Raw genomic sequence first — 15,827 nt, 5'->3', positions numbered from 1 at the left:
TGTTCCATCTCCCCCTCCACAAAGTCCTTCTCACATAGGCCTGTGGGGAGAGCCGGGACTGAGTTCCTTTGAGTAAGCTTACCTAAGATTTTGCTTTTTTATTAAATGAGTGGGGAATAGGTAGAAATAAAAGAAAAATTATTTAAATTACAACTAGAAAACTTTAACATTAGGAGAAAAAAAACCCAGAAATTACAAAGTATATGCAAAACAGAGGATTAATTAGTTTATAGTGATTTTGAGAAGGTCTATCTATGTTAAGTATAAAATGGTCGTTTAAATTCATAATTTAAGAAACAGTTATGTCTTTAAATTAGTTTGAATATTTTCTCATTCTAAAAAATACATTTAAAATCAAAAGACTCAAAACTAGAACTAAAAGAATATAAAGTCATTTCTAATTTTACAAAGGATTGATTTTCTGGCTTAAGTACCAATTATTCCTCTATAACACTGTAAGAGTCATTATGAAGCTGATAATAATTACTGTCATTTATTGGATGTTTGCTCTAAGCCAGAGATGAGGCAAACTATGACTCATGGGCCAAATTTAGTCTTATTGGAACATAGCCATGTTCATTTGTTTTTGCAATAGAATAGAATTGAGTAGTTGTGGCAAAGATCGACCCTCCAGAGCCTCAAATATTTACTATCTTGCCCTTTCCTGACAAAGTTTGCCAATCCCTGATTTAAGACAAGCACTGTTTTTTGTAACAATTATGTCATTTAATCCTTACAACATCTCTAGGAGGTTGGTTTCTTATCCTACTTTTATGGATGATGAAATAGAGGCTGAAAGATATTAAGTGATTTGCCCAGGGTTACTCAGCTAAGTGGAAGAATATGAACTTGAAGCCATGATGATAGAGTCCATACTTTCCCCTTTGTGCCCAATTTCTTTGTCGTTAGCCTTCAGAGAGGTGGCATATCTTGGTGGTTACAGGTATAGAAGACTCTGAAGCCAGGTTGCCTAAAGTGAGATGACCTTAGGCAATAAATGACTTGACTTTGCATCTCAGAATATAAATGATGGCAAATACTACTGTTATGAACCTCCTGTTTTGTAGGTGAGATACTAAATGTCCAGAAATGCTTTTAAGCTTTCCAAAGACCTGACTTTACAAATGACTATAGCTTACCTCCAGTGCTAGATAGATAACACATATTTCAGAGGGCTGATGGTTTTGGAAAGGTAAAATCATGAGTCCAGTGTTCATTTTTTTCTCTCTTAATTATCAGGTACTTCATAGACAGCAGTCTCAGCCAGCCAAGGAGAGTTCCCCTCCCAGAGAAGAAGCGCCTCCCCCACCTCCTCCGACTGAAGACAGTTGTGCCAAAAAGCCCCGGTCTCGCACAAAGATCTCCTTAGAAGCCCTGGGGATCCTCCAAAGCTTTATTCATGATGTAGGCCTGTACCCAGACCAGGAAGCCATCCACACTCTTTCGGCTCAGCTGGATCTCCCCAAACACACCATCATCAAGTTCTTCCAGAACCAGCGGTACCACGTGAAGCACCACGGGAAGCTGAAAGAGCACCTGGGCTCCGCGGTGGACGTGGCTGAATATAAGGACGAGGAGCTGCTGACCGAGTCAGAGGAGAACGACAGCGAGGAAGGCTCCGAGGAGATGTACAAAGTGGAGGCTGAGGAGGAAAATGCTGACAAAAGCAAGGCAGCACCTGCCGAAATTGACCAGAGATAATGTGAACTTCTACTAGGCAAAGCAATACATCGGTCCAAGGATTTTCTGCTTTCATTTCTTTAAAAGTTTTTTGTTAGTTTGTTTTTTGTTTTTGTTTTTGGGTTTTTTTGGCTTTATTTTTGTCTTTTTATGTCTGTTTTGTTTTTCTTACCCTTTTGGACATTTCTTTGTTGCACAGGATACACCTATAGACTGAATAAGTTCAGTATTTCCGAATCAGACATCGCCTTGGCAAAGACACTAAAGCGTTACACTTTATCCCGTCTCTATGACTGGATCATAGTCATTATAATCACAGGAGACTCTGCCTTCATTATCCTTGCACTTAACGGAAGTTACATCAGGCAAGTACCAGGATGAAAAGAACTATGAAATAAATGAAGGAAGCTACAAGTGTGTGTGTATATGTATATGTATATATCTCTATATTTACATATATATATTAAAATTGCATGGGACAGAGACTTTGCAATCCGAAAGAATAGACTGTGAAATGAGTTCTTAAAGAAAAGACTTGTTTATGTATTAAAAAAACCACTTCACAGTGAGTCGCTTTGGCTTTTTGATAAACTGCGGCCTGCTCTCAGGGTGGGGTGACTATTTTTGAATTCCTATTTATTTTTTGTGTTTGTCCCTGATTTTTTTTTTTTAATTCTATGGCTTCCTATCTGGCAGCTTAATGGGTAATTTTTGAGGTATGTATTTAACAAAATAAACGACACTGCCGAAAAAAAAAAAAGTGAAGTGAAAACAATCAGGGCACATTAAAATGATACAAGTCAAATAAATCTTAAAGACACAATGCACACTTAAAATGACTCAATAAAATGACTTGCTACGTTCCGTTATTCAATTTGTCATTACTGTAGTGAACAGATGCATTTCTGTGGAATTCCAAATAAGTAAAACTGAAATTCAGTGCAGAGAAAACTTTGTCCACTAGTGCAAGTCTTGATCAAATGACATTTTGACATTGGACATATGGAATTCATAGTATGAGCCACATTTTGTTGTGAAATTTATTTACCTGCTTGTGGCTTCAAATCTGAAAATTAATAAGCCTGCTCGTTTAAAAGTTGTTTGTTGTTGCTGTTTTTTTGTCTTTTTGTTTTTTACTAGAAAATAGTTCAGTGTAATATTAAGTTAGAAAAGAAGTTGCTGCCCAGTTAAAGGGGCTCCCTCTCAAATAAATCTCCATCCTTCCCTCTCCCAAAAGACATTTCTGATTTCTGCTTCACTTTGGGCTTCCTCTTCTTCGTACACATTCCATCTACCTAATCAAACATTTTCAGTCCCTGATCTCTCCTGTCCCTTTTCCTGGGATGACAGCCCTAACAAGAACTGTTTTTGAATCGTTGTGCAGCTCCAGGCAATAGAGTATGTGAAGCGATTTCAGTAGAATCACTTACTCATCCTAAAAGAAAACATTATCCCAGTTACCTACATCGCAATTACCTTATGTAAAGCAGAACTAATGCTGACTGGATGTTTAATGGGATGAGCATTAAAGCTGCAATCTACTATAGTACTCCAGATCTCTTTCGGCTTCCTATGAGAAACACCAGAAGCATTACTTTCCACTTCTACTTACAGTAATTGCAAGAGGAGACCTCACATTCAGGACTGGCCTAGTGAACGTAATCCATGCTTTAAACTGGCCATTAAACAGTCCCACATGGTTGGATTTTTTTTTTTTTTTTGAGTTGTGCTTTCACAAAACCTTGTCAAAGACCTCATGCAATATCACTTTGAAAGTTATTTTCTGTTTACTACACAAACATTGTAATATAACTGTTAATACTATTTATATATTTGAAAGGTATAAAAGGTAGGAGTTAAAAAAAAAACCTCTATGTGTAGATATTAACTCAGAACTTACAATATACAGGGAGAAGACATGTTGCAATACAAGCTAATTCTAGCTGCTCAGTAACCTCTGGAGTTTTTAAAGGGACATTTTCCTGTACTTTTTCAAATAATGATGTTTAAAAATTATCTTGACATAAGCGTCATATACCTTTGCAAAAGGATGGTTGTTTGCAGTTAGCCCTGGCCCCATCCTTCCTATTTCTGTAGTATGCTGCAGCTTTAATCAGAAAGTCCATGGTTGCTGCTTCCTGATCTCCGAGTTACTCTTTCCAAATTGTCTTCTTACACTGTTGCTGAAGGTCACTCTGTACACGTAATGGAAACTGATTTTGCCAAGCTCTTACAAGGTGGTTCATCTATCGATGGCATCCGCATTTGGTATCTTTTACACTTCAACCAAAAATTTATTAGGTATTTTTCAATGCTAAGTCTTGCCTTTTATTTTTTAATTTCACTGCCAAGTTTGCAGTGGTTCTAAGTGAATCTGTGGGCATTTTAGCCTGTGGTCTTGCCAGATCTTTGCGAATTACAATGCATATATGTCTATTTATTCAATATCTGTCATATAATATCTATTTGGAAGAAGAAACTTTCTCTTGTAGTGCCTCTTGACAAAGCACAATTTCCCGCCTTTTTTTTTTTTTGTGAAATGAAAAAAACAAATTGTGTTTTATTGCGGTATCAACAATGTGAATAAGGATTAACATATTGTAAATGTTCTTTTTTCCATGTAAATCAACTATCTTTGTTATCACTAAGTGATAATTAATTTTTAACTTATGTGCATTGTTAGGCTGTTAGAATTTTTTGGTTGTTAAAATAAACGCATTCAATAAATATGACTTTGTTTGTCAGTTATTTTACTGGGCATTATCTGCTTTCCCACTTAATTTTTCATGCAGAGAGAGACCTGGTGAGTCTTAGGAAAATTTGTACCCTTATTTTAGAAACAAGACAGTGGTACCTGCAATTACAGATATATGAGTCCTGTACAGTGCATGGATTTAATAGCACATGTGAATGTATGTGTGTCTCTGTGTGTATATAAACACATGCATGCTCACTTCCTTTATCCAATCTTTTGTCATATACAAACAAAACTCAAATGTATAAAGATATATTTATAGGCTGCTGTTTTATTTTTCTAGTGAATATTTTCTGTTTATAATTAAAAAACCACAAATGACTGCGTGTCAGGAAACTTTTGGAGCACATATGTCCATGGTTAATGGACATAATAAAAGTCTTTTATATTTAGAGCTGGGGTACCATAATGTGTGCATGGAGGAATGCTGAAAGGATTGATGTATCTGAGAAATGTGTGAAAATGATTTTTTAGAAAGTACTTACAATGGAAAAAACTGCTCAAAAGACTAATGTTAATAAGGAAAGAGCAAGTGCTTCGCTTCAGAACTGGCAAAGAAAAAGTAAATTAAAAAGTGATTTTGTTTTCTTTTGATATTGTAAATGTTTTTCCTGTTTATTTTTTTTTCCATTTTTCTGCATTTGATTGACATACAGATGTAACTTCTCTTTCTTCCTCGGTTTCCCTTACCTTTTTTAACAGCCCATGAACCATGTAGATATGTTTTAATGATAATTTGTGAAAACCGAGTGTTTGCAGAAAGGCAGACAGCTTCAGGGTGCTGAAGGTTTTTAAAAACAGCTAGAGGCTCAACACAGGGTGAAACGTTATTTATGCAAATGTAAATGAACTCTGCATTTAGACTAAAGACAAAGAAGAAAAGCATTTGTGAAATAATGACTTTTAGCACAAGCAGCTTCCACATTCATGAGATTGTGTTTTAGGGGTCAAACTTCATCAGTGGGAGGCTCTACACACACATGAATTGGTGTGCCTAGAAGGTGTCTCTCTGCTAGTGACTTCTATTTTCAAGAAAGCAAAGTAGGAATTTCTCAAGTAAAGTCATAGCATCTCAGAGCGATCACTTCATGGGTTGAGTTTTGTCGTGTGTGTGTGTGTCTAGAGGACATATGTTTCTTTACACTGTTATTTCCCTTTGTGAAGAGTCTCAAATAAAGACTTTAAATTCCCCACATTCTTTCTAAAGGACAATCATGCTGTAATCAGACAGTAAACATTTATTAAACATGTACTCTATGCCGGACAATTTGCTAGAAATTGCGGTGACAAAGAATGTACGACTTTGTGCTTTCTCCTCAGGAAGCTTATAACTTGTTAGAAAGGCAAAATATAAATCCAGGAAAAATGAAATAATCACACAAAAGTTGTCTTCAGACAGAAATGTATTTGTTTAATGGGTGGTACAAACACATGCTATGAATTAAACAATTATTGCTTATAAGCTAGAATGGTCTTAGAAGGTGGAACATTTATGATTAGGTTTAGCTGCATACAATAGAAAAAAAAAAGCACAAAATAATTATGACCCAACAAGTGTTTCTTACATGAAAGAAATTGCTGAGATAAGCTGGCTTCATGAAGTCAGAGACTCACACTTTTTCCAGCTCACAGCTCCATTTTTTCCTGTGTTCATTCCTGTGTTCCCTCTTCATAGTCCAGGATGATCGCTAGAGCTCTTGCTCTCACACCTAACTTCCAGGCCCCAGGAGGAACAAATGAGTAAAGAATGACACACAGTCTTCCCTTGGTACTGTAGGGGATCGGTTCCAGGACGCCCCCACACACACATCCCCAACCCATGGATACCAAAATTCACTAATGCTCAAGTGCCTTATATAACAGTGCATAGTATTTGCATATAACCTTTGCATATCCTCTCATATTTTAAATCATCTTTAGATTATTTATAATATCTAATACTATTAGAATACATAGTAATACAATTAGTATAATGTAAGTGCTATGTTAATAGTTGTATTGTTTAGGGAAGAATGACAAAAAAAAGTCTGTACATGTTCAGTATAGACACAACCATTCATTTTTAAAAACAAATATTTTTGATTTGCAGTTAGTTGAATCCACAGATACAAAGGAGCGACGATATTCTCTTTCTTCAAGCCCTATACTTGAATGCAAGGGAGACTAGTAAATGCTTCTAGCTGTTCCGTGAATTCCAGAGAAAGGGGGAGAGTGGATATTTGGTAGGCAGCTAACAGCCTCTGCCATAGACGGTATTAAGAAGAATGTTGAAAATAGTAGATAAGAGAAGGATAAGTGAAGAGGCACATTTGCCCTGCTGCTACTTCCTGCACCTTACATCTGTTCCTTCTCCTGAGTTCAAGTTCATTCCTGGCTAACTTTAAGGATCAGTCCAAGCAGCACTTCTTCCAGGAAGCCCTTCCCCATCTGCTTTGCCAGTGTGATACAAATTCTTCCATGCTCATGCCGCTTCCAGGGTATTCCACTGCACAGAGTTTGTAGCATGTTGTGGTTACTGTGCTAAATGTTTATTTCCCATGAACCCTTGAGACCTACAGCTGAATCCCAGACATGGAGCTCCTCAGCTAGAAGAGTGCACTCAAAAATGTTGATTGAATGATTGTGTATTAAATATGTGAAAAAACAGTGCATTCAAAGACATAGAGTCAGAAAAGAAGACACACTGTGGGAGAGCGAGCAGAGGAGCAGGAGAAAGGAACCTGACACTGGCAGAACTCTCCCAGGCTAGTTGTTGCTTTACGCTCTCACAGCGACTCCTCACAAATACTATTATCCTCAGTTAACAGGGGAAAGGAGGCTGTGCCTAACACAAGGTCTCAAAGTGGGTTTATGGCTATTTTTCATCTATGTCTAGTCAATTATTCAAGACACACACTTTAGGGTTTATGTAATCTTTTTTGATTTCTAGATCTTTCCAAATTGTAAAAGTTGGGAAATTGATAAAAAATGATGGAACAGGATAACAAATATTGGCAGAAGTTAAGGATGTTCATTCAAATTTTTTCCAAACTCTCATGTTCTTAATAGACTTGTAAAATGAAGCAGAAAAAGCCAAACCTATTCCTAAAATGATCTGCCTTTAAGACCATTATAACTCACAGGTAACAGTTATTTTCTCTTCCAAATTCATGGCACTTGTCTGTACCACTCATTAAAAATAATAGAGCAGTGTTTGAAGGCAGCTTTCGTGAGGTTATTTCACATCTTCTGGGTTTATGTTACGGACTGTGGTGGGTGAACGTGGCAGATGATATTAATAAGGAAAAGCCCTAAACTTCGAAGGGAATTGGGATCCAGAATATCTGAGTTCTGATGGTGGCTCCACCATTCCCTGGCTGTGTAATGTTGGGCAAATTACGACTTTGAGCCTAATGTTCCTCAACTAAAAATTGGGCATAGTGACGCTCACAGGGTTATGGAGAATCCAGTGGCATAAGATGCTTTGAAAGTGGTAAAGTTTATGAAAATATTACGTTTGTCATCAGAAAGTGCCAAGTAGTGATCTAACTTTGATTAATTGTATTTATTAACTTTCAGAGGTCCTGATGAAATAAAGCAACATTTAAGCTTTTATATAGTTATTACAGACATATTTAATTAAGGCTTGTGGTACGACCACAAGAATGCATGACCAACTCAATCTATTCAGCAAATATATTTATTGAACACCATTAGTGGCCTTGATTTGTAATGCAGAATCAAAGCAGTTCTGGATACATTTAAATTGATTAGTATATAAGATTTTTGTTTTCTATCACCCCAAAGAATGCCACTTCAAGGATCCCTGAGAGTGAAGTTAAATACATTAATTTGTGTCTGAAATGCTTACCATGGAAAAGTGGACATTTATGAATTGGGTACATTTTGCTTTATTTCTACCTTCCACCCATCTTTTCAAAGTGAGTGGAGAAGGATAAATTCTAGGGGACTACATCAAAAGTAATTAAGAGAGATTTGGGCAATAGCTCAGCAAGTTTGGGGATGGGTGTGATTCTTTAAAGAGAACAGCAAGGCCTGAGGTCTTTGCATTTGGCCATGCAGAGAACAGGGGTGGGTAGGCAGGTGGAGGAGACATGGGGCTGTGTGGGGATAGGTATGACAATGTGTCTTCTGAATGAGCATGTCTAGGACTGGCATATTGAGTCGGAGACAGGAACAATGAATGAAGGGTGCAATGAAGGGAGGTGATTTGGAATCCTGCAAATTCAGTATTGCTGGGAAATAATAGAGCCAGGTTCTAAAGCAAGGTCTGCATTTTCTCCCCAGTATCACACCACCTCTCTTTTTGTATCCTAGAATGTCCTAGAAAGAATGTATAAACTGAGCATTAATTCGCTGACCAGCATGGTTTATATGTCATGATGATTTGACATCTCTTAACACACTTTTTCATAATCTTGTTCAAGTATGACATTTCTGATTGAGTTTTGTTCTGAGGGAAAGCTTATTTTTAGAAAACACCATGATCTGCTAGTACAACTGTCCCAAAGAATCTAGAAGTAGCTTCTTTGGTGACATTTAAAAAGGCTTAAAGTGTTACCTTCACATATGGGGAAATAATTACAAAAATATTCCATTAGCCATGTAATAAATAGTGCAGAGCAATGATTAATTAAAGAGATAACTATAATTTATTCACTATCCATTAACAAGCATAATCCCATGTAAACACAAAATAACACAGGTTGAGGGAATCAGGGGAGACTCAGTGTCAACTTTGAACTGAGCAATCCTAGGAATCTACCCTTAAGGAAAAGGTAAGGAAAAAATAAAATCTTTACAACTTTAATTTGTTTCTAGTTGATTGTGTGGAGGCAATGAGTTGTTCTAGTTTCTATTTTTTACTAATATTGCAGCTTGAAAAAGTTACTTTTCAATCCCTAGTTTCTGCATCCATAAAACAGGCCCAGGAACAGTGGCTCACACCTATAATCCCAGCAGTTTGGGAGGCCAAGGCAAGAGGATCACTTGAGGCCAGGAGTTCAAGACCAGCCTGGGCAACATAGTGAGACCCTGTCTCTTCCAAAACAAACAAAAGTATAAAATAGGGCTAATGACTTATATATTTCAAGGTTGTCATAATTAAACAAAATAACTATGTGGAAGCATCTAGCGTAATTCCTTCCTTCCCTTCCTCCCTCTTTCTCAGGGAGAAAAAAAGCAGGATATAATCAAATGTTACAGAGGACTTAAAAATAGTTCAGATGAGTTTCAGAGTAGGATTAAGTCTTACATTTAAATTTTTTTGTGTGATTTAAAATCTTTAAGGATAAAGGGCTGTTATGCTACACTTTCTCCTTTTCTCCTTCTCCCACTTTTTCTTTGATTCTCTTTCATTACAGTCCCTTTCTCTCCATCTCTCCCTTCCTCCTGTTCCTTCTTCCTGGCAAGAGCTATAATATAATTTTCTTTCTTAATTGCAAACAAAATGAATGAGGTGTTTTAGTAGCCTTCTGAGGTCTTCAAAATTAGATATTTAAACATTAATGACACCACACTTGCTTGTTTTTCTGCTGCCTCATTCTTGTTCTTTTTTAATGTATTTTGCTGATTCTCTTCTCTCCAAGCCTTTATGCCCAAGACGATCCAGGGTTCTTCCCTTCATCCTCCTTTTCCCAAATCTACTCTCCTTCCTCATCCAGCATCATGACACTAAATGCATCCAAATGCTGACCACACTACAATTTCTGTCTGTAGCCTAGACCTTTCCTACATCTCCAAACCAGTAGGTTCCACTGCCGATTCAACTCCTCCACATGCCTGGCATGCTTCACATGGCCCCAGACAACCTCCTCTTCTTCCCTGAACTGTTCCTCCCACCTGTTGGCAACTCCAGCTTTCCAGTGGCTTAGGCCTAAAGCCTTGGATTTGCCCTTTATTTTTTTTCTTTAACACAATGGCATTTAATCTGTCAGGAAAGTCCTATTGGGGGAACCCACCCCCAATATTTCAATATAGGTTCTTTCTATTTTCCATAAGTGTCGGCCGGCTGAGAAATAAAGAGAAAGAGTACAAAGAGAGGAATTTTACAGCTGGGCCTCTGGGGGTGACATCACATATCGGTAGGTCTGTGATGCCTACTTGAGCTGCAAAGCCAGCAAGTTTTTATTAGGGATTTCAAAAGCGGGGGGTGGTGTACGAACAGGGAGTAGGTCACAAAGATCACATGCTTCAAGGGGCAAAAAGGAGAACAAAGATCACATGCTCCTGAGGAAACAGGACCAGGGCAAAACCAGAAACTCCTGATAGGGGTCTATGTTCAGCGGTGCACATATTGTCTTGATAAACATCTTAAACAACAGAAAACAGGGTTCGAGAGCAGAGAACGTGTGTGACCTCAAATTTACCAGGGCTGGGGTTTCCCAATCCTAGTAAGCCTGAGGGTACTGCAGGAGACCAGGGCGTATTTCAGTCCTTATCTCAATCGCATAAGACAGACACTCCCAGAGTGGCCATTTATAGACCTCCCCCGAGGAATGCAATTCTTTTCCTAGGGTCTTAATATTCCTTGCTAGGAAAAGAATTTAGTGATATCTCTCCTACTTGCATGTCTGTTTATAGGCTCTCTGCAAGAAGAAAAATATGGCTCTATTCTGCCTGACCCCGCAGGCAGTCAGACCTTATGGTTGTCTTCCCTTCTTCCCTAAAATCACTGTTATTCTGTTCTTTTTCAAGGTGCACTGATTTCATATTGTTCGAACACACATGTTTTACAATCAATTTGTATGGTTAACACAATAGTGGTCCTAAGGTGACGTACATCCTCAGCTTAGGAAGATAACAGGATTAAGAGATTAAAGTAAGACAGGCATAAGAAATTATAAAAGTATTAATTTTGGGAACTGATAGATGTCCATATTAAAATGAAATCTTCACAATTTATGTTCAGAGACTGAAGTAAAGACAGGCATAAGAAATTATAAAAGTATTAATTGGGAACTGATATATGTCCATATTAAAATGAAATCTTCACAATTTATGTTCCTCTGCCGCGGCTCCAGCTGGTCCCTCCGTTCGGGGTCCTTGACTTCCCACAACAAAGTCCTGTTAGCTTTCCTTTTAAATATATTCACAATCTCACAACCTCTCACCGCCACCATTACTACCAGCTTGATCACAGCCACCATCACTGTTTACCTGGAGTGTAGCAACAGCCCCCACACAAGTCTCCTGCTTGACCCTGTCACCTCTTCAGGATTAAATCAATGTCCTTACAATGACCTGCAAGGCCCTACATGATCTGACCCTTCTCTGACCTCCTCTCCTTAATTCTCTCTCCTCTGTTTACTGGGCTCCAGATACACTGGCTCCCTGCTGTCCCTGGAATACACTAGGCCCACTCTTGCCTCAGGCCTTTGTTCTAGCTCTTCTCTCTGCCAGGAAAGCTCTTTTCCCAGACAGCCCCATGGCTGGCTTCTTCAATTCCCTCCAGTCTGCCCAAAAATCATCTTCTCAATGAGAACTAGGCTGATCACTCATGTAAAATTGCAAACTCACCTGCCTTCTGGATTCTTTTTATTCTGTCCTGCATTTTCTTTTTCATAGCTTCTGACATACTCTATAATTTACTTATGTTTCATGTTTTTATTTATTGTCAGCTTCCTCACCCCATTGAAAACACCAATAGGGCACAAAGCTCTTCCCTCCCTTTTAACAAATATTTGATGAATGGGGTACATTTCATAGCAGTTTCTCTTTGTTGGATTTTGAAATTTTCCCAACTTCAGCCAGGATTAAATATTTAAATTGCCTTATAGGGATAAACTTCATCTGAATATTTCTGTAATGCATAATCAAGGTATTTGAGTTACAAGTGCCTTGACCTCAAGAACCTCCACAACTGACATTTGTAAGCCCCACATTCAGGTAATTCATAGTCTGTGATTCTGTGTTGTCTTGGAAGACAGAATCACAGAACCATGGGCTTTATTATCCTGCACATCCTCTTATTCAAAGCAGAAATTCCTTTTCAGGCATCCTTGGCTGGAGGCCATGCAGTCTTTGTTCTTTCATGACTAGGAACTTATGAGTTTGGAACTCAGCCCATTCTGCTTTTGGTTAGTTCTCTTTTCCCCTGTTATTGGCGCCATCTAAAGCTGAATTGACTCTTCTAGTAACCACCTCACATATTTAGGCTCATACTGAATATTGATTACTAAATCCTATAAGTTCTCAGGCTTTCTTTCTTAATCATGTGATACAGCTACTAAGAGAGCTTATGCTTATGTCATTTCAGACTGCATGAATAGAGATATACAGCTTAAACCAAGAAAGGTGATCACCCTATACTCTTCAATACTAATCAGGCCACATTGCAACATTGTTTTTAGTTCTGGATGACATATTTTGGAAGGATGTTGATAAATTGAGATATATTCAAAAAACAGAGGGTGACAAGGATGTATAAGAGCCTAGAAAGTTTATCTTCTATTAATTTATTCTGTTAAATCATTTTTTTCATTTGTCAACCAACAAAGTAGATTTATGAAATGTCTATTATATTGAAGCCATTGTGAGGGAAATAAAGTCACGACCTTTAGTTGACAACAATAGAACTAAATTTAACTAGTTAAGCAGAAAAAAAAATTTACTAAAAGTTATTAGAAGGCCCAGAGAATTTCCAGGTAAGTCAGAAAATCTGGGTTAGACATTAGGATCTATATCTAAGATGACTCCAGGGGAGACAGCTGCTGCAGCACGGAGCACAAGCACCAGATCTTGGTCCCACGCTCCTGGGCACTGAATGCCATCTCAAAACCTCTGCCCCTGCTGCCTCTGAAACCCGGATGGCTCTGCCACTGCCCTTAGTGAAATGGAATTCACATGGTGCATTTTTTTTTCCATTCCCTTCCAAATAAAAGTCCTGATTGAAGGAGCCTAAGTCATATGTAAGGAAGGCTGGGAAAGTGCGTTTCTGTCTTCTGTCTTGGACTCATAGGTAGGAAATTCTCTAAACATAGAAAAAACAGACAGAGGTGCTCAGGGCCCAAAAAGTATGCCAAATGCACTAGACTTCGAACTCTTTGAGGAAAGATACTATGCCTTATTAGAACAACATAGTGTTGCTTTGAAATCAGAAAGGGCTGGTATCTATCTAGAAATAGATCTACTCTACTTCCTAGTTTTCGGTAATTTGGAGCTATATATGTATATATATACAAAAGGAAAATAATACCTCCCTTGCAATGTGTGTGTGTGTGTGTGTGTGTGTGTGCCCATATAAAGCAGAGTGCCTGCCTATTAAATGATAGTTTTCCTGCAATATCTTTGTATTCCCATTACCAAGGATGATTCCTGGTACAAAGCATTCATTTTTTAAAAATATGAGACTGTTCGTCGAAGTCATGGTATTTGCCTTTGAGAAAAATATCAGTAGGTAGGTAATTTGTAAACCAAAAAATTCTAAAATCCAAGGTGAAATAATGTCGATCCACCGTGGATGGGGAAGTAAGTGTCCTCTGAGGTACTGATGCCTGCTTTTACCAGGAGAAACTAGAAGTAGCATCAAATAATACTTAGTCTTATTTGACTAAGAGTGACTGTAAGAGTGACTCAGTATGAACTTGATCAAGGGTAAATCACCTCCATCAATCATTCTTCTATATTCAGTTGGACACTACTAAATATTTCCAGATGGCAGACCAACTCATTAGATTATGTGGGAGAATACATTTTGTAACTAATTCCACCATGGACCAGCATCAAGTTGGGGTGTTTAATATCAGAAAGATTGTCAAGCCTTAAGTGAAACTTGTTTACATCACAGACAGTTTACACATAACATTGCTTTGAAAACCTCTGCACTCAGATAGTAGAACAATGGGGTTTTAACCAGTATATATCTGCAAGCTTGCACACCTGAAGTTGATTCATGCAGATATCCTTGAGACCCATTCTGGTGGCATTCAGGAAGCTTACTGTACTGGGAATATTGGGGAGGCCTTGGCATCTTCAGCACCCTAATAGGATAAGGGTACTCCTGCCAAGGTCCCATCTGCAAGTATGACACTTACCTCTATTACTTTGTGAAATGCTATTTTGGGAATATAGTCCATGGCTGTCATTACCAGATTTTGGGACTTCTTGGACCAGTAATAGCCACTCCTCAGGCTTGGGGGCCAATAAGGACTTGTCAAGTTCATACTGGCAAATAAAGACACTCAACAAGCAATACAAAATATAAAACTACCATATTTTCTACCATTATCACATCAAACAAAGCACTTTTAACTCCTCCCAAAGTTGGAAGGACATCATCTTAAAATAAACTATAGTTGGGCTGGGCAGGGTGGTTCATGCCTGTAAGGAATCCCAGCACCTTGGGGAGGCTGAATCTGGGAGGATTGCTTGAGACCAGGAGTTCAAAGTTACCATGAGCTATGATTGTGCCACTGGACTCCAGCCTGGGTGACCAAGCAAGGCCCTGTCTTTAAAAAAATACAACAAAATAAAGCATAATCCTATTCAAGTGAGGAAAGTGAACCAATTTGCTGTGAAATATGTATGTCTTACCCTTTTTTCCCCTCCTTTTTCTGGGGAGCAGAAAAAACTCTGTCACCACCTAGAAGCTGACTGCAGATGACATCTAGAAACTGCCAGTCTGAGGACTAGGCTGAGTATTTACTTTCCCAGAAGTTCTGTCCTTTAAGTCAGGCACCAAAAGATCCCCAAATTTGCTCGGCCTTCTCAGAATTAGCTCAATTGGGCTTTGCTTTTTCTAAAGGATTTTGCAGGAAAGTGCTGCCATGTATTGCCATTACATTTACTATAAACTATTGATGCAATGGTTGTCTATGATGCCTCAGTGGCTCCCAGGTGAAATTTCATACAAGAAATTTCCTTTTGATTTTAAAGTAAAAAAGATGATCATTGTTTCCCCAGTGGAATTTGGGTATGCTACTTTCTTTATCTGATAGTGAGAACAACTGAATTTCTTGAGTTTCCCTTTCTTGCCCTGGCCAGTAGGAGGCTCAGCATCATCTCTGATGTCTACTCATAACTACTGAATTAATCCTGTACTTCTAAATGAGAAAAAGGTGACAACCTCAAATTACCCAGAAAGCTACATTTGGAGAGTATAGGAATTTTAGTAGCAAGTCATTAAAAATTAAACTGAATACAATTTCTTCACACAGACAAATACATCCTTCTGGAGAAATCAAAGATTTCCCCAAGTTCATATTTGGGACCACATCATCTGATTATGTAGATTGTTCACAGCATGGGTATCTAGGTAAAGAGAAAAGTGGCAGCTCTGGTATAGGGTCTGTTTTTACCCAGAGGAAGTGACCTTTTTTTCTGATTAGTACCAAAGCGCAGAACGGGCAAGGAGAGGCTCGGCCCACACTTGTGCACAAGTTCATTTGCATGT

General features: G+C 38.2%; 1 protein-coding gene across 5 annotated transcripts in view, besides 1 other annotated feature; it reads left to right on the top strand.

Moving 5' to 3' along the window:
• The window catches only part of SATB2 (SATB homeobox 2), a 201,767-nt gene extending 197,355 nt beyond the window's left edge, over positions 1 to 4,412 (top strand). For 3 of the 5 annotated variants that reach the window (NM_001172517.1, XM_005246396.4, XM_047443775.1), the window contains one exon: positions 1,240 to 4,412. In NM_001172517.1, coding sequence (NP_001165988.1) covers positions 1,240 to 1,701 — 462 coding nt within the window. In that variant the 3' untranslated portion in view covers positions 1,702 to 4,412. The remainder of the gene's footprint in view (positions 1 to 1,239) is intronic. The other 2 variants (NM_015265.4, NM_001172509.2) reach the window with 1 other exon arrangement.
• Positions 828 to 2,027: an enhancer, noted in NCBI's record as "MED14-independent group 3 enhancer chr2:200136608-200137807 (GRCh37/hg19 assembly coordinates)". NCBI's record gives its function as "activates an origin of replication core promoter dependent on BRD2, BRD4, P300/CBP and CDK7 cofactors, and independent of MED14, by STARR-seq in HCT116 cells {active_cell/tissue: HCT116}" and the evidence as "EXISTENCE:reporter gene assay evidence [ECO:0000049][PMID:35650434]".

This window comes from Homo sapiens, chromosome 2, assembly GCF_000001405.40.
Source record: "Homo sapiens chromosome 2, GRCh38.p14 Primary Assembly".
Lineage (NCBI taxonomy): Eukaryota > Metazoa > Chordata > Mammalia > Primates > Hominidae > Homo > Homo sapiens.
Note: the sequence above shows the minus strand (reverse complement) of the source record. Positions and strands in the feature narration are given on the sequence as shown.